We start from the raw sequence: 19,783 nt of genomic DNA on the forward strand, positions 1-19,783 counted from the left end.
GACTGCACAGGAAGGATGGCTTGACCCCAAGAGGTTGAGGCTGCAGTGAGTAATCTTCGTGCCACTGAACTCTAACCTGGGCAACAGAGTAAAATGCTTTCCAATAAACAAACAAACAAATAAATAAATAAATGGCATTTACACATACACTAAAAAAAAAAAAAAAAAAAAAAAGCAGAATATGGTAAGAGCAGACGATTTGAACCAGACTTGGAAGAGCAGACTTGCATGGGACCCAGAGTCTTATAGTCTTCAGAGTAAATCCATACAGGATTTTTGCCTGTTAGTAAATCCATATTGGGCAAAGGCAGAGACATTGTCACTGTTCTAGGATGTTTAGCACAACTAAAAATATAAAGGAGATGCTTGCTTCTCCCTATGAGGTTTTTTTGTTGTTGTAGTTTTTGTTTGTTTTTTTTAAAACCCAGAAGTGTTTTTATGGTTTATGGAAATCAGTTACCAAAATATTGCTAATTTAATTTATTTGATTAACATATTATTATTGGAAGAGTTAAGTAATATGGAAACTTTAATACTTTCAGAAGACCAATTTATTTAGAACTAATGGGAGTCTATGTTACTTATGTTGGAATTCATGTGTTTCGATTTCATACATTATTAGACTGGAGCTTCTCATAAATAAAAACATGTTATATTTTTCTATCTCTATCTCTAATGATCAACTATCTAGCTATTTATCTATTTTCTACCATAGTGGAGCTGATCTACTTCTTCGGCAAAAGAAAAATTGCTTAAGATAAAAGCAAACACTATGCATGCAACACTCAAAATATAAACCAATATTTGAAGGAGAAAAATACATTATACTTAACAAGGTTACCAGCATTTAAGAATATGGAATATGGCCGGGCATGGTGGCTCATGCCTGTAATACCAGCACTTTGGGAGGCCGAGGCGGGCAGATCATGAGGTCAGGCGATCAAGACCATCGTGGCTAACATGGTGAAACACCGTCTCTGCTAAAAATACAAAAAGTTAGCGTGGTGGTGGGCGCCTGTAGTCCCAGCTACTTGGGAGGCTGAGGCAGGAGAATGGGGTGAACCCAGGAGGCAGAGCTTGCAGTGAGTCAATATCGCGCCACTGCACTCCAGCCTGGGCGACAGAGCGAGACTCCGTCTCAAAAAAAAAAAAAAAAAAGAATATGGAATATAAGAAGTCAATCAAAATCATGATTGTGAGCCGGGTGCAGTGGCTCACACCTGTAATCCCAGATCTTTGGAAGGCTGAGGCAGGAGGATCTCTTGAGGCCAGGAGTTTGAGACCAGCCTGGGCAACATAGTGAGACCCCCATCTCTACAAAAAATAAAATAAACTATTTGGACGTAGTGGCACTTGCCTGTAGTCTCAGGTACTAGGACTGGAGTGGGAGGATTGCTTGAACCCAGGAGTTCGGGGTTATAATGAGCTATATGTTTCTGTCACTGCACTCCAGTTTTGGTGACAGAGTGAGATCCTGTCTCAAAAAAAACCAAACCAAACAACAACAACAACATAGCTGTGAAAGAATGTGTGAATAAATATGGCTAAATCAGGCCTTCTCTTTTCAGCCTGCTTTTTGTTTGTTTGTTTGTTTTTGTTTTCTTGATAGAAATTAAGGCAGAGATAGAGCTCAGATATATGATTTTGAGAATCACCATCCAAATGTTTTTGGAAGATGTACTTATAACTCTTAGGCCTGGCTCATAGTAATTATTAATGAAATAGTTTTTGAGCAGTGAATGATTAGAAGAAGGTAGATGGAAGGGAGATACATATTAAGGATCTTTGCAGGCTTTTCTGAACCGTTAACTTCAGGGCCTTTAGCTCAGCTCTGAACATTTATTAGGTATATAATAGATCTCACCGTATTTTGGAAAAAGGCAAACTTCATAATGAGGTAAAAAGCTGATTTTAATGAATTCAGTTATTTAATCTTTATCAAAGCCTTTACTACTGCGTTTTTCTTCCTTTTAGAGCAAACCTTGAAATGGTGCAATTTTACAAACAATTTATATGATGCTATGGCATGGAATTTCCTAAAATATTCCCCATTAAGGAACGTTGAAAGAGTTATTTCTCATAAAAAAAATCAATATAACTATATGGAACATTTTTTAAAAGATGACTAATGAGCAAAACCAAATCTTTACCTCTTACTAAGTAATAAAAATGTTAAAAATATATGATGTGTTACCAAATGCTAGATCCAGACATGCCCTGTATTGATATTTTGGCATGTTTTGATATAAAATGGCTAAAAATTTTTAAAACATCTCTAAATGGCTCAATCTAATGAACAAGTGATTTAAAGTGAGGCCAGGAAAAATAATGCCCCAAGAGGAAGATGACAGTGGAAGAAAATAATATTTGATTTTTGTCCCTTAACATGACGCCACCTGAGAATGGCAAAACCCCTGGATCAGTCATTTGGGAAAAGCAAAGACCATTCCTATTAGCCTTCACTAAGGCTTCTCCTAGCACACTACCATCCCACCACCCTACCTACCCTTCCCCAGAAGCCAAGCAGATTCCAGCATCATGTTTTCTGTATTGTTTGCAGAGCCGTGAGCTAATTAAACCTCTTTTTTAAAAAAGTAAATTACTCAGTCTCTGGTATTTCTTTCTTCCTTTTCTTTTCTGTGGGGAAAAGCAAGAGAGATCAGATTGTTACTGTGTCTGTGTAGAAAGAAGTAGACATAGGAGACTCCATTTTGTTATGTACTAAGAAAAATTCTTCTGCCTTGAGATTCTGTGACCTTACCCCCAACCCCGTGCTCTCTGAAACATGTGCTGTGTCAACTCAGAGTTAAATGGATTAAGGGCGGTGCAAGATGTGCTTTGTTAAACAGATGCTTGAAGGCAGCATGCTCCTTAAGAGTCATCACCACTCCCTAATCTCAAGTACCCAGGGACACAAAAACTGCGGAAGGCCGCAGGGACCTCTGCCTAGGAAAGCCAGGTATTGTCCAAGGCTTCTCCCCATGTGATAGTCTGAAATATGGCCTCGTGGGAAGGGAAAGACCTGACCGTCCCCCAGCCCGACACCCGTAAAGGGTCTGTGCTGAGGAGGATTAGTAAAAGAGGAAGGAATGCCTCTTGCAGTTGAGACAAGAGGAAGGCATCTGTCTCCTGCCCGTCCCTGGGCAATGGAATGTCTCGGTATAAAACCCGATTGTATGCTCCATCTACTGAGATAGGGAAAAACCGCCTTAGGGCTGGAGGTGGGAACTGCGGGCAGCAATACTGCTTTGTAAAGCATTGAGATGTTTATGTGTATGCATATCTAAAAGCACAGCACTTAATCCTTTACATTGTCTATGATGCAAAGACCTTTGTTCACGTGTTTGTCTGCTGACCCTCTCCCCACAATTGTCTTGTGACCCTGACACATCCCCCTCTTTGAGAAACACCCACAAATGATGAATAAATACTAAGGGAACTCAGAGGCTGGCGGGATCCTCCATATGCTGAACGCTTGTTCCCCGGGTCCCCTTATTTCTTTCTCTATACTTTGTCTCTGTGCCTTTTTCTTTCCTAAGTCTCTCGTTCCACCTTACGAGAAACACCCACAGGTGTGGAGGGGCAACCCACCCCTACATTTTCTTTCTTTCTTTCTTTTTTTTTTTTTTTTTGAGATGGAGTCTCACTCTTTTGCCCAGGCTGAAGTGCAATGGCGCTATCTCAGCTCACCACAACCTCCACCTCCCGCGTTTAAGCGATTCTCCTGCCTCAGCCTCCCAAGTAGCTGGTGTCAGGCCTCTGAGCCCAACATAAGCCATCATATCCCCTGTGACCCACATGTATACATCCAGATGGCCTGTTCCTGCCTTAACTGATGACATTACACCACAAAAGAAGTGAAAATGGCCTGTTCCTGCCTTAACTGATGACATTACCTTGTGAAATTCCTTCTCCTTGCTCAGCCTGGCTCAAAAAGCTCCCCCCCTGAGCACCTTGTGACCCCCACGCCTGCCCGCCAGAGAACAACCCCCTTTGACTGTAATTTTCCTTTACCTACCCAAATCAGATAAAACAGCCCCACCCCTATCTCCCTTCACTGACTCCCTTTTCGGACTCAGCCCGCCTGCACCCAGGTGAAATAAAGAGCCTCATTGCTCACTCAAAGCCTGTTTGATGGTCTCTTCACACGGACGGACGCGAGTGAAAGCTGGGATTACAGGTGCCTGCCACTGCGCCTGGCTGATTTGCTATTTTTAGTAGACATGGAGGTTTTGCCGTGTTAGCCAGGCTCGTCTTGAACTCCTGACCTCAGATGATTCACCTGCCTCGGCCTCCCAAACAGTTGGGATTACAGGCGTGAGCGACCGCATCTGGCCTGGTATTTCTTTATAGCAATGCTAGAACAGACTAACATAAAAACCTTGACTTAGTGGCTGCAACTCTTTGATATTTCCAACTATACTATATTTTGCTAGGCTAACCTTGGTTTCAGAATACCTGTTCTGGCAATGGTCTTCATGGTATGTTTGAATTGATTATTTTCTCAATTGACCATTTTAGGCCATAATAATGACTAGTTACAAAGGCAATCAATGGAATGTGGATAGTGCGTTTGATTTAGTAGGATTAGAGTAATTGTATTTGTGACATTTCAAACACTCAGTTGAATTAAACATGTGGCAATTCCATCTGTTGGAAGTAGGATATGTGATATATAGGTGCTATGACCAAAATACCTAAATTGACAAACTAGAAATAGATTTCCTTATACAGGTCAGACATAGTCACTGATAAGCAGATCATGTTAGTAGAAAAAGTTTCACATCAATAACATTAAAATGTAAGGTATTTTGGAGATAGAATATGTTTGTTGAAGAGTGAAAGAAAGTAAAAAAAATGCAACATTTCTTTGGACTTTTGGTAATTTAGAACCTTAAACATGAAGCATTTCATCAATCATTAATCTTAAAGTTTTTTTTTTTTTTTGGTAGATGTTACTGGGAACTTTAAAAAGTAATAATGGAGTCTTCAATAAACAAGAAATTAGAAATTCAAACACTGAAAATATTCACACTTAGGGAAATAGGATGAAATACAGCTTTTATATCATATCAGTGGCAGGAAAAATAATCATTCATTACAATACCTGGTTATTTTATTATGTAAAAATAGTGATAACATCTTTCAAATAATTTGACTTCCCACTGGTCCTCTGAAGGAATCTCTGTCAGTAGGACAAAGATCAACACTTGGTCACAAGTTAAAACAAATGTCTGTGAACATCTTTATAGGTGTCACCTTATGAATTAAAATTTGACCGTATCATTATTGTTGGGGGCTTCAGTTAGTTCATTGTATCTTGGAACAATATAATATGGATCTGCCAGAAGTCAGAGAATTAACATTTTCTATTTGGTGTTGGTGGCACATCTTTATGTTGTAGACATAATTACTTCCACTTTTTACACAGATTCCTTATTGTTGCCAGTTGTAAAGTTTTTTGGTCCTATATTTTGATTGCATGTATAATTAGGAGCATGCCCATTTGGGAATAAGCTTCATTAAGACAGCATAACGCAAGACGCGGGCTGTTGAACCTAAGTTTGCCAGACTAGGAGTCAACATTATTAATAATTTTAAGGGAAGGTCCATTGTGTCCAGATATCTATAGTTAGCAACTCCAACGTGGGATCTTTTATTTGAAGGTATATAAAAATGTAAAAATAATTGGTTGAAAAATTATCAAACTTCTCTTTTGAAATAATAATTGATAACATTCATTGAGTGCTTAATGCATGGTAAGCTTTATAAACACTACTTCATCAAAACTTTAGTTTACCTGAGATAGGTAGTGTTTTTAATCTTGTTAAAAATAATTTTTGAAAAGATTAAATCATGACTATTTTACAGATATAAAAATAAACACATGCTTAAGACTTTATTTATTAATCAAAGAGGGAACCAGACAGAGGTTACAGCTGATTCAAAAACAGTCCAAAGGACAAACCCACTTGTAGATCAGAAATATTAAAATGAATGTACAAATGAAAGCAAAATATTTCTTTGAATAATGTGGTAAAGGAAGTCAATCAAACTTCTACTTAACTGGAAAAAAATGCGTATGTCTACCGACAAGAAATATTTTGTATTGCTTTCAATTATTTACAACTTACAGAGTTGTAAGATGGTTCCCATGGAATCAAAATTAGATAATCTGGGGTGATATCCTCTAGAAAATACATAGTTATTCACTTAAACATAATTTCCACAATTTCCCCCATACCCTCACTTTATAATGATGAAATCAAGGTTCAGAGAGGACAGATTTTTTGAATGGGGATATTAACTAGTAGAAAAGTTCACTGCCTTATGGAAAGGAATGGATACCAGAGTTAGATAATAGAAGTAGGATATGTGAAATGAGTGAATGAAGTCACCAAGGGTATACGTATCTCCAAGGCTTTGTGAAGAAACTCACAAAACAAAGGATGGAGAGGATTCCAACATGTTCACGTGTTTAAAACTTTACTCTGACAATGGGAACCCCTCTACAATGCATGCCATTCTAATGAGAAAAAATATGCACAATCTGTACAAACGGTATTAGAGCCACATTGTATTCCCCTTAGTGTCACCTCATAGGAAAGCCTGGGGAAGAATTTGAAAGGGGTTTGTGATGCAAAGAATGAACTATCAAAGGATTACCTTGAGCCTGTAGGCTAGAGAGATTATTGGTATGGTGCAGGTTTCTACTTGCTCATCTGACTTTAAGGTAAGTCCAGTTAGATAACAAGCTATATGGTAACACCTTGTTATGTCATCACTGCCTGGAAGGAAGCTGGATAGGAGTATGACAGAGGCTCATTTTTCTGGTGTCCTGGTAGGTTGTGTCAAGCATGAGTAGTTTCTTAGATGGCTTTCTCTCATCCCTGCCACTTAGCAGAATCTAGAGAGGTTGAGCCTACTCAGAGTGGGTAGTGAGAATAAAATAGAAAATTAGAATAAATAACATGCTGGTGGATATGTAGCTAAAAAGTGACAGAGCCCATATTCAAAATCAAATTCACCTGATTCCAGATCCAGATGCCTAACTTCTTCACTACATGGTTTATCATGTTTTGTTTGAAAAGCTGGATGCAAGAGGTACATGGGGACTTCCTCACTGTCTCCAGTGTCTCTTCATTGAGTCATTTGGTGGGATTGGCATTGACTCTGATTGGTGGCAGTGTCTGCTGTGTGCTATGACTCTAGGAGAGGAAGCTTCCACACACCTTTAGCAGCAGAGTGACTTGTAGAGTGTAAACTGAAAGCAGATTCCACTGTATGAGGCCTGGAAACATGCAGGATGGTATCATCAGACGCTGTCAGCAGTTTCTTGTTTCCTACTACTTACTCACTTCATCTTTAGCATCCTATGGGAAATGCACAGGATCGAATATAAGCAAGAGCTATGAGTCGAAAGTCTTGGATATTGTCCCAGACCTGAAACATCATTAGCTTTTCTATATGTCCATTTTTCTCATTAATAAAACAAGGATAACTGCATTTGATCTATATAGCATCTGTGCAATTATTTCCATGAGAGAATGTAAAATGGGAAAAATATTTTATATATAAAAACTGATGCAGATCAGGCCAGGCGCGGTGGCTCACGCCTGCAATCCCAGCACTTTGGGAGGCCGAGGCGGGTGGATCACTTGAGGTCAGGAGTTCGAGGCCAGCCTGGCCAACATAGAAAACCCCATCTCTACTAAAAATACAAAAATTAGCTTGGTATGGTGGTGGGTGCCTGTAATCCCAGCTACTCAGGAGGCTGAGGCAGGAGAATCACTTGAACCTGGAAGGCAGAGGTTACAGTGAGCTGATATTGCGCCACTGCACTCCAGCCTGGGAGACAGAGCAAGACTCCATCTCAAAAAAATAAAAATAAAAAGAAGTAATGCAGATCAACCTCATTTCTGCTCAATCCCAGAAATGTGGATTTAGACAATGTCTCTAACAAGCAGAGAAGTAGAATAATTTGGATATTAGATTATTTAGAATCACTCTTCAAAGAGCTCCTATGTCCACATGTGTTAACTGTACATTGTTTCTGATTATTTCTATTGCAAGTGACAAAAAACCAATTCAAATGGATTCAAGCAAAAAGGACCTTTTTTGTGTGTGTTGGAGGGGGTGGATATCTGAAAAATCTAACTGTAGATGTGGCTTCAGGTGTGACTGAATCTGGTGATTTAAATGTCACTATCAGGACCTGGTTCTCTCCTCCCCTGCCCCACTTTCTTTCTCTCTTCATTTCTAGACTTTGCTTTCCTTTTCATTTGTTTCATTCTCAAGCGGGTTTCTCAGACCACATAGCAAAATGGCTGCTACTCACTTTGGACTTATGTTGGAGAGATAATGCCTTTCTATTACTCCTCTGAAATCTCTGTGATTTATATAGTTGGCTCTACTTGGCTACTCAGGCCAGTTTTTGTTTCCTGACCCAACCTTGGGGCCATGGTTGAAGTCAGCCTCATGAATGCCATGTGAATTGAGACAGTGGAAGAGTAGACCCACAAAGTACAGGGTACTTTTACCAGAAGAAGAAGAAATGTTGGTAATGCAGAAGTGAAAACCTTTTGGAGGTATTTGTGATGGAAAAATGATTAAATTATTCTTATTAACTAGCTATGAGATCAAAACTGTAAAATATGAAAAGTGCATCAGTTAAAATGCCATTCTGGGCATGGTGGCTCATACCTGTAATACCAGTGCTTTGGGAGGCTGAGGCAGGAGGATTGCTTGAGGCCAGGAATTTGAGGCCAGCATGAGCACTTTAGTGAGATCCTATCTCTACAAAATGATAAAAATCTTAGCCCAGCATGGTGGCACATGCTTGTAGTTCCAGATACTCAGGAGGCTGAGGTGGGAGGATCACTTGAGCCTAGGAGTTGGAGGTTGAAGTGAGCCAAGATTGCACCACTGCTCTCCAGCCTGGGAAACACAATGAGACCCTGTCTCTAAGAAAACCTTACAAAATATCATTCTTATTTTGCTATGGAGACATTAGGGAGTTTGGGGTCTTAGAGAACAAATTACTTGAAATTAGAATAACAATTCTATCAGAAATATTTCGAGTGGTTATTAAATAAATATTTATTTGTTGAATTTTTTTTTTTTTTTTGAGACTAAGTCTTGCTCTGTTTCCCAGGCTGAAGTGCGGTAGCACGATCTCGGCTCACCGCAACCTCCACCCATTTGGTTCAAGTGATTATCCTTCCTCAGCCTCCTGAATAGCTGGGACTACAGGGGTGTGCCACCATGCCCAGCTAATTTTTGTGTTTTTAGTAGAGACACGGTTTCACCATGTTGACCAGGCTGGTCTCAAACTCCTGACCTTAAGTGATCCACCCGCCTCGGCCTCCCAAAGTGCCGGGATTACAGACGTGAGCCACCGTGCCTGGCCAACATTTATTTAGTTGAATTCTTAAAATTTATTTTTCTAATAGAATAAGGGAGAGCATTAGAAGTAGTTTTCATAAGACACAATAAATATAAACCTGTCATTTACCTGTCTAGCCCTGATATTCTGAAATCTGGAACTTGGGTTTAGAACAAAATGGATTCAGTTAATCCTTTTTTTTTTTTAGAGAGAGAGATTTGTATGATGCTGGCTGGTTTATTCATTCATTCAATAATTATTTATGGATATTAATGTACAAGGCACCCTAATCTTTAAAAAATTCAGTCCTGGTTTTGCTGTATTAGTGTGTGTTTTTCTGATCTTAAAAAATTATATGAATGATATAAATGGTCAATTCGCAAAAGATAAAATTCAGCAGATATATGAAAAGCTGCTTAACCTCAATAGTAATAGGGAGATATAAATTAAAATAAGATTCCTTTTTTGAATCATCAGATTGCCAAAAAAAAAAAAAAAAACTTTGATAATATCAGTGGGAGGCAATGGTGAATATGAATTTTATAGTCATCATAGAGGGAAATTTTACAATCTGTTAAAACTTAAAATATACACAATAACTTACGTAAAAGAATGTTTATTATGGTATTGTTTATAATAGAGGAAAAATTATAAATAACATAAGATTATAGCAAGGGAAGAATGGTCAAATGGGCTACCAAAAAATGCATACTTAGGAATGTCACACAGTTACGAAAAACAATGTGTGTGTGTGTTTGTGAATACAAGCGTATTAGGAACAATAAAATATCCTCTAATCCAAACATGGATACATAGATTATATTACATTTTTATGCAAATATATTTCTAAATACATAAAAAAACTTAACCTATAATAATGTTTTTCCTTCTTTAGGATGTGGGGAATGAGCCTGGCTAATGGGATGTTTATCTGCATTGTTTGAAAGGGTTTACAAGAACGTTCTCACTACTTGTTTAATTAAAAATTCAATTACTTTTTAAATTTGAAACATGCATATGAGTGTAATACATATTGAATTCCTACAACAACCAATATTTACTCTATCTATATAAAGAGCCTTACGTTTTGATATAATGTTATCCTTTTCATAAATGTATTTAATTAAATATAATTTTTATATTTTTGGAAGACTACTTGAAAAACAAAGACCTGTGTCAAATAGGTTTGAAAAAATTCATGCTCTCCAATGCAGTAACTATATGTAACTGTTTAATTTAATTTTACATTAATTAAAATTATATAAAATTAAACATTCTTTGGTTGCAGTAGCCACATTTTAAGTGCTTAATAGCCACATGTGACTAGGATCTTCCACATTGGACAACATAGATATAGAACATTTTTTATCATCACGAAAAGGTAGTTACTGTTAGACAGAGCTGATCAAAATCATTTTATCTTTCAGGTTCTCCTGCCTATCTTTTGAAAATATAAAATGTATTAATTATAACCAATGAAAGGCAAAAAAATCAAACACTTATATCTGTCATCATGTAGCATTTCTACAGTTAACTGGTGCCAAATAAATTTTTTCCTGAGCCCTTGAATAATTTACTGTTTGGAAACATTCAGATTTCCCGTGTTTCAGTAAAACTTTTCCTTGAAGTTTTCCAAGACTTGTACATGAGAGAACTCTGAAGTGTGGGATGTGAGGGATGAGGCATAATATTAGAGTCCACTTTGCACTAGGATAGAGTTAGCTAATTTTCTTAAACATTTATAAATCAGGGAAACAATCAGACCCCGGTGCAAGAGATTTGCCACCTTTGCTCTTATGGCTGAAACCAGGGAGCCTGTGAATTTTCAATGAGTTGATTCACTGCATGCTTTCCCACAGGAGCTGTGGGGTTTGTGGATTTTTATTAAGCATTTTCTAGGAGATTCTGTCTTTTCTGGGTTGTAATTCTCATGGGTTCAGAGTGCAAATGTCTAGGTTAATACCTCCAGCTCCAAGAGGGTCTGCAGGATAATGGTGTAACTGTGACAAATACGGTCATGCCAAAAAACAGAAGCCACTTCACATTCAGGGAGGAAGAGAATTAACACCGAGAAGAGGCTTACACAACCATTGCAAGGATACGAGAGGGAAAGGGGTATAGATTAGAAAGATTGCTTTTGGGAAATCTCAGGAAAGCTACCATCAGAAATCCTTGGTATCTTCAGACTCTGAAAATTGCTGAGAAACCCCCATGTCACCCCTCTGCGCATGTCACATACCTGCCAGAATCTGCTGCTGCTGGAGAAATATGGCTTCTTCTTTTTCTCATCCCTCCAAATTGTACATGACTGCTTGACACTGATGAAATCTAGCTAGAGCCCTGCTGTCATGGAAGCCTGGGAAATGTAGTTTCCAATTTTTCTGCTCTTGAGGGACAGGCAAGAGCTATGGATGCAAGAAAGACACACAGTGGCACAAACCTTAACCCTGTCCAGCAGGCACTGTCCTACCCTCTGTCCTAGAGCATTGCCGCCACATGTCCACGTGTGTGAAAGTGGGAGTGAGGCAGTTTCTTCCGACCTTTGCATTGGAACATGTGCATTTCTAAGATCTGTTCAGTAACTTGGAATAATTAAGATGAGCATTTAGATAACTGACCCTCAAACTTGTTGCCCGTAAGTGTCACTGAGAAGTGATCTAAAAACAGATTCTTGAGCCCCCTTCAGAACTACTGCACCAGAATAGTGGTTGGAGATTGGCCTGGGGAGCGGTAGTCCTGGGAATCACCAGCTGCCTGCAGTGCCGATGAGGCATCACCTCTCAGACCAGTGTTAGAAAGAAGAATGGATTTTCCCCCTGGGTTTCTGGAAGGTCAAGCCAATTTTGCCCTAAATTTATAAATTTAGGTTTTAGAATGAAAAAGCCATATCAGATGCTGGTAAATGGTCATATTTTTGGGGATTGCAATGACTGCGATTCATGATGTCAAATCATTAACCTGATCATAGTCCCTGAGACTATGAAGAAACTCCAGAAGTGAAATGTGGATAAAACCCCAAGTGTTGGCAGAGTTTCATTTTGTAAGGAGAAGAGAAATAAAATATGTTGAAACTGTATATATATTAATGAATATATTTTTTCTCCATTGTTAAAAGGTCCACTGTAGATATATATTTACTGTATTTACTGCTGCCTGTGCAAATAAAAGACACACAAAGCACATACTGGGCTGATTACACTATTTTTTATTATGAAAATATAATTTAAGCTAAGGCCAATTCTGAGACGCAACTGACATCTGTGAAGGTTATTCAGGGAACTTAGGAGCAAGCAGGTACTAGTTGCAATGCTATGACGGGCACATTAAAAATCCTTTTATTTGTGTGATTAATTGGATGTTCTCTGGAAGCATGAAATATGAACTGATTTCTAGTTTTTGTAAGGACGCTAGTTAATTTATAAGGTGCTTAGAATATATGATTTTCAGTATATCATTTTTTTCCCCTATAACTAAATGGGGAGGAGGAGTGACTTCGTAAAGAAAACAAGAGACTGGCTTTGTATATATTATACATACTGTTTTGCAGCCTAAATAAGTTTGCAGAGTATATGTATGCTGGGTGGGATATCTTGTACTCTCACCTTTGCCAAAGTTTATTAAGAAATGAATTTGTGCCAGAAGAATAAAATCATGTGAAAGTTACTCAGTCAGGTAAATTCTGAAAGCAGACTTGCTGGAGCAATAAACTTGATGAATGATGCTGTTTACAATTCAAGAAATTTCCTTTTATGAATCTGTATTAAAAATGGAAAATCTGTGAATTTTAAAATACATAGAAACTTGCTGATTTTTAGCATAGGCTTTGAGCTATTGGACTTTGAGGATTTAAAAATATTCATTTCCGGCTGGGCACGGTGGTTCACGCCTGTAATCCCAGCACTTTGGGAGGCTGAGCCACGTGGATCACCTGAGGTAAGGAGTTCGAGACCAGCCTGAGCAACATGGTGAAACCCTGTCTCTACTAAAAATACAAAAATTAGCCAGGCATAGTGGCGGGCACCTGTAATCCCAGCTACTTGGGAGGCTGAGGCATGAGAATTGCTGGAACCCGGGAAGCAGAAGTTGCAGTGAGCCAAGATGGCGCCACTGCACTCCAGCCTGGTTGACAAAGCAAGACTCTGTCTCAAAAAATAATAATAATAAATAAAAAATTAAAATACTCATTTCCTCTGGTGTCAAATGTAAGAAAATTCTTTGTTGTTGTTGTTGTTGTTTTTGTTTGTTTGTTTTTGTTGTTTGAGACAGGTCTTGCTCTTTCGCCCACGCTGGAGTGCAGTGGCATAATCTTAGCTCACTGCAACCTCCGCCTCCCAGATTCAAGCAATTCTTCTGCCTCAGCCTCCTGAGTAGCTGAGACTACAGGCGCGTGCCATCACGCCTGGCTAATTTTTTGTATTTTTAGTAGAGGCTTGGTTTCACCATGTTGGCCAGACTGGTCTCGAACTCCTGACCTCGTGATCTGCCCACCTTGGCCTCCCAAAGTGCTGAGATTACAGGCGTGAGCCACTGCACCCGGTCAATATAAGAAAATTCTAGATGGTGATATAAACATGGGTACATGAAGGGAAAGAGTCTGAACTCTTGACACCAGGAAGAAACTGTGAGCAGTTAAGTGAAATCTAAGAGGATGAAAAGTACTGGAAGATTAAACTGGCAAATTTATCTGATTCCACTTTCAGATTTCCACATTCAAATCTGCCAAATATCGTATTTTTACTTTCAGGTCTTACTGCCTATTAGAGCAAAGGAAGAGGAAATCTTTGGCTAACCGGTCAGAGAAAACAACTGGATTAAACAAGATACTCTTCATGACTGTGGTTGCAAAAATGCAACACAACTTTTAAAAATCTTAGTACTAATTTTTAAAAATGGCTTTTAATTTGGGGGAGACTCGATAACAGAACCCGAAAATCTGATGAATTGTATGAACATTTTGTTCAGAAAAATAAACATATATTACCAGAAAATTTCATATGTGATTCAAGAAGTCCACAGAAGTTCCATGTTGTAAGTAATTAGAAAATAAGAATTCTGAATTGTTAAAATAAAATTTAATGTTCAACATCATTCATCCAGGAAGTGGAATTTTCCCTCTGTTAATCATAGAAAGAAATGCTCTCAAATTTAGGTGGAAATAAAATATTTGTTGTTGGAAATGTATATACTTCTGCTGCTTTTAAAATTCCAGGCTTCATCCATATTCAAAATGCAAAATATTATTAAAATAATCAGAGCTTTGACTTTGGAAAAGTCTGAAATTGCACCTTGGCAACACTGGATCTACTCCTGTCACTCCCCAAGTGGTGGTCCTTAAGTGTTAGTGTGCTTGAGAATTAACTACAGAGATTGTCTAAAATTACCAGTTTCTAGGATGAGCCCACCAATCTGTGTTTTAACAGGAGCTCCAGAAAATTCTCTGTTCTTCTGACCATATTTTGAATATTGATATGAAACTACTGATGAACCTCTTGGTTCATGGTTTTTTCCTATACTACTCTCTATCTTTTAATTTGCCTCTAGCACTCTATTTATTTCTTTTCTATTTAAACGTGTCTCCAAATCTCTGAGAGTGTAATTTTTCTGTTTTCTTATGCTTTCTTTTCTTTCTTCCTTTTTTTTTTTTTTTGAGACGGAGTCTCGCTCTGTTGCCCAGGCTGGGGTATAGTGGCGCGATCTTGGCTCACTGCAACCTCTGCCTCCCAGGTTCACGCCATTCTCCTGCCTCAGCCTCCCAGGTAGCTGGAACTACAGGCGCCCACCACCACGCCTGGCTAATTTTTTGTATTTTTAGTGGAGACGGGGTTTCACCGTGTTAGCCGGGATGGTCTCGATCTCCTGACCTCGTGATCCGCCTGCCTCAGCATCCCAAAGTGCTGGGATTACAGGGCGTGAGCCACTGCACCCGGCCTCTTATGCTTTATTTTCTATTTCTAGTAATATAATCCTTCTTCCATTGTGTTATTTTCTCTGACTTTCTCCCCTCCCTCTTCTTCCTTTTAAAAGTTCAATGAACTTTTTAAAATTTAAAACACAAATGGGTGAAGAATTTTACATTTCTCTTTCTTTAAAAGTGACAAAAGTTAGGTTACTTTTTCACTGATGCATTCATTTATTTTTTGTTTTTCTACTCTCTTATTTATATATCCCTAGTTCAGGGATTACTGAAAAAAGAAAACAAAGAAGAGTTCAAGATGCCTGTAGATCAGGAAAAAGACAAGGTTATAGTCTTTTATAATTTGCTCCAGAGGAAGCTGTGAACATCTACTGAAAACTGACAGATTTCACTCCTTTTTCTTATCAGAGAAAAATAAAAGCAAAGTAGATTTGTTTCTTTAGGAAGATTTGTAATTTTTATTCTGGGAAATCAGAATGCAGTCTTGCAAAATAATAATAATAATAATAATAATAATAATAATAATAATAATAATAACAACAGTCAGTTGACTCTACTCTGCCTGCAAAAAATTAAAATATAAATTACCTGGCTCTGTATTTGGCATATAACAGACTTCTAATAAATATTGGATGAAAAACTTCTGGTAAATTATTATTTCTGGTGTTTTCAAATGTATGCCAAACATTAGCCATGCCTGGCTAATTTTTATATGTTTTGTAGAGACAGGTTTAACCGTGTTGCCCAGGCAGGTCTCAAACTCCTGGGTTTAAGTGATCTTCCCACCTTGGCCTCCCAAAGTGCTGGGAGAACAGGCATGAACCATCACGCCCAACATAGTTCTTTTTTGTTAAACTAGTTAAACACAATAACGTCATTAAAGCAAGCGCCCGTTAAAGGCTAGTTTTCCTTTCATTTATTGTAAAAGTTTATAAGATCATAATCAGGCTTAAAAGGAATTAGTAACACTATGGCTTCCTCATTATACAGGTATGGAAACTGAGGCACAAACATGATTTGAATGGCATGTCCAGTGTCATTCTTCTAGAAGAAGAGTCAAACTCATGCCCAAGCACTCCACCTACTACGTTTCATGACACAAATAGCTAAGGTCTATGTGTGTCATATGTGTGTGTGGTGGTGATGGTTGTGGGAGAAGACAGTGACTTGCATTTTTAAAACTATTTGGAATTTTGTTTACATGCCTGCCCACATGCATTTCAAGCTTTTGAACACAGATGGAATGCTTCGTTTGGGATTAATTGCCTCTCTATTTTTCTTGGTGAGATTAGCTAGTGGTTTGAGCCTATTATCTTGCAGGGAAATACTCCATGGAAATATGTTTAGTATTTTCTGTATATAAATGGAATCAGTTATGAGCTTTAGAATTTCTGATGACTTAATAAAAATAGGCACCATACATTGAGTAATTTCAGTGATCAGAATCAGGATCAGAAAAATCAAGAAGTTTCTTTTGTCACTATTTCAAGGTTTCCAAACATTGGAGGCAAATTCCATAAGAGAGAATTCTGTTTACCATGAAACCAAAGAATATAAACAAGTTGAGAAGCACACATTCTTTAGGATTAAAGATGCTCAGCTTTCTTGCAGTTTGAAAGTGCTAGGCCTGAAAATTTTTCTGGCTATATAGAACTTCAACATTTGTTTTATTACTTTATTCTCTAGAGTAAAATTGAGGAACAATGGTGACACCCTAATGATAGGGCAACATGGTTCTGCTTTAGTAAGTCTGAGAGCTGCAGCTGTGAAAAGGGTCCTGACTCCATTCAGGTAATGTCCAATTTATTTCAGAAATGCTTTCCTCAGTGACCTCTTCAACTTGCCTTGACCTTTAAAGTTGTATTCTTTTGTTGAATTAAATTGAATTCCAAAAATATTTATTGAACATTTATTAAAGGGACAGTGTCATTAATGATTGGGGATTGGCTAATGTTTTATAGCAATGAATAATATCCATTCTCCACCTTCAAAATATGAACAACCCAAAAGTTCCCTTAATTATGTCAATTATAGTTGCTGATTCAAATTTTTTTATGAAAGTGGTCCTCAAACTTGGGTGCATATTAGAACCACCTGGGGAGCTTTAAAAACTTTATGTCCCAGGCTGTACCTCAGACAAATTAAATCAGGGGGTGATAGCCAAGCATCTTTTTTTTTTTTTTTTTTTTTTAGATGCAGTCTCATTCTATTGCCAGGCTGGAGTGCAGTGGTGCGATCTGCAACCTCCGCCTCCCGGGTTCAAGCGATTCTCCCGCCTCAGCCTCCCAAGTAGCTGGGACGACAGGCACCCGCCATCATGCCCGGCTAATTTTTGTATTTTTAGTAGAGATGGGGTTTCACCATGTTGGCCGGGATGGTCTTGATCTCTTGACCTCGTGATCCGCCCACCTCAGCCTCCTAAAGTGCTGAGATTACAGACGTGAGCCACTGCGCCCAGCCGCAAGCATCAACTTGTAATGCTGTCCATGTGATTTCAATGGGAGCCAATTAGTAAGCTTTGAATGGGTTACAGCTGTGTCCAGTTAAGCCTTGTTAACTCCTCGAGCACTTGGGCAAGACCAAAGCAGGTAAAGCCTGCAGTCTTCACCTCTTGCCACAAGTGGACTCCACCAATGAGCTGCGGAAAGAACATTTCCTACGTACCATGCCATGAAGAAAGTTGGGGAGCACTGAAGTGCCTGATTTCAATCTTATAATAATACTGTAAGGTAAGTATTTGTTTTTCATATTTTATAGATGAAGTATTTGAAGCTTTGAGAATTGATAATTGGCTTTACTCAAATCACACATAATTCAAAGAGCTGATATTTGAACCATGCTTTTCTTACATTGCAATTTTCATACTATAAAGTAGAATGTGAAAAGTACTATAGAATGGAACAAATAAAATATGGGAACTCGGAGATATAGACATTTATCTTGGTCTAGTGTGATTAGGGAAGGCTTCCTAGAGAATTTGTCACTTGAGCTGAACCTTTAAGAATATGTGAATTTCAAGAGGTAAAAATGTGATGTTATTCTAGGTTTATATATTAAATAGTGATCTTTTCTGGCTGTAAGATAAAATATTAGACCTTATCTTATGAAAATTCAGGATTCTTCCAGTGTTAGGTACCTGAATGGAAGGTCACAGCTCTTCTGCTAGGAAGTTTATTTATTCTGGTTGCACAGTAGAGTCATCTGGGAAGCACACTGATGCCAGAGTGCTACCCTAAATCATTACATCAGGATATTGGAATAGAGCCCATGGGGGTAGTGTTGAAGGAAGCAGCAGGAAATAAACTGGTTTGGGTTAGACTGCAACGAACATAGAATGTAAAGGTCACGAGATGTTATTATTCAGGTAATGGTGAGCCAGGGAAGGGTTTTAAGTAGGGCAGCGGTAAAGATCAAGTATTCCCAATGGGAATGGTTTGAAATCCAGGAGCACATCAGGATTCCCTGGGAAGGCTTTTCTTTTATGTCCTCTTTCTCTGGTTCTGGGACTATGCCAGAATCTTGGGGTAGCCTAGATAGTTTCAGAAACTGTATTTAAAGCCAGTGCCTTCTCTGCCCTATCCCAATTTTAATATATCTAATCAGGGGACATAGGATATAAAGTTGGGGAATCATCTATAACATATTGTCTTAGTCTGTTTGGTCTTCTATGACAAACTACCATAAACTGAGTAGCTTACAAATAATAAAAATTGATTTCTCATGGTTCTAAAAGCCTGGAAGGCCAAGATCAAATATTCATTGCCTGGTGAGGGTCCTCTTCCAGGTTTGTAGACTGTTCTCGCTGTAAACTCACATGGTAGAAGTGGCAAGTGAGCTTTCCCACTCATGAGGCCTCCACTCTCTTGACCTAATCACCTACAATGATTCCACATCCTAAAGCATTACACTGGAGGTTAGGATTTAAACATATGAATTTTTAGAAACACAAATATTCAGTCTATACAAACCACCCTCACTTCGAAGATCAATTTCAAATTTGGGGATCCCCAGGACCACCTTTGATTTTGCTAGAAAGACTCACAGAACTGTTGTACTTACAGTTATGGTTTGTTTATTACAGTTAAAGGATATAGATCGTCATCAGCCAAAGTGGGAGATACATGAGACTGAGTCCAGGAGAGTTTCAAACGCAGAGCTTTCAGTTGCTCTTTCCCAGTGGAACTCTTTGGCTTCATTAGGGTGGGGCTAATAACTGTTAATTTTTTTTCTCTGTTTATCTTCTTGCTGCTTGACCCTGGATATGGCACAGTCACAAGAAATGCAGAGCAGAGTAAACAAAGCCCCAGTTTTATTATTGCAAAGATCCAAAAGGGCAGTGAAACAGACTATTGGAGAAATCTCAGAGAGGGATGAGCTTGGAAAACTGACCCCATAGTATTGTTGGTGAACTCCTGGAATCATGGCCAAGCCACACATGCATATATCTCACCCTAAACAGGAAACTGTAGATTTTGATAACTGGA

General features: G+C 38.4%; 3 annotated features.

The window, feature by feature from the left end:
• Positions 2,779–3,420: an enhancer, noted in NCBI's record as "OCT4-NANOG-H3K27ac hESC enhancer chr5:116156975-116157616 (GRCh37/hg19 assembly coordinates)". NCBI's record gives its function as "activates a minimal SCP1, AML or CMV promoter by ChIP-STARR-seq in primed H9 embryonic stem cells {active_cell/tissue: H9 hESC(primed)}" and the evidence as "EXISTENCE:reporter gene assay evidence [ECO:0000049][PMID:30033119]".
• Positions 3,421–4,064: an enhancer, noted in NCBI's record as "OCT4-NANOG-H3K27ac hESC enhancer chr5:116157617-116158260 (GRCh37/hg19 assembly coordinates)". NCBI's record gives its function as "activates a minimal SCP1, AML or CMV promoter by ChIP-STARR-seq in naive and primed H9 embryonic stem cells {active_cell/tissue: H9 hESC(naive and primed)}" and the evidence as "EXISTENCE:reporter gene assay evidence [ECO:0000049][PMID:30033119]".
• Positions 4,065–4,708: an enhancer, noted in NCBI's record as "NANOG-H3K27ac hESC enhancer chr5:116158261-116158904 (GRCh37/hg19 assembly coordinates)". NCBI's record gives its function as "activates a minimal SCP1, AML or CMV promoter by ChIP-STARR-seq in naive H9 embryonic stem cells {active_cell/tissue: H9 hESC(naive)}" and the evidence as "EXISTENCE:reporter gene assay evidence [ECO:0000049][PMID:30033119]".

The sequence above is a fragment of the Homo sapiens genome, chromosome 5 (assembly GCF_000001405.40).
Source record: "Homo sapiens chromosome 5, GRCh38.p14 Primary Assembly".
Classification (NCBI taxonomy): domain Eukaryota; kingdom Metazoa; phylum Chordata; class Mammalia; order Primates; family Hominidae; genus Homo; species Homo sapiens.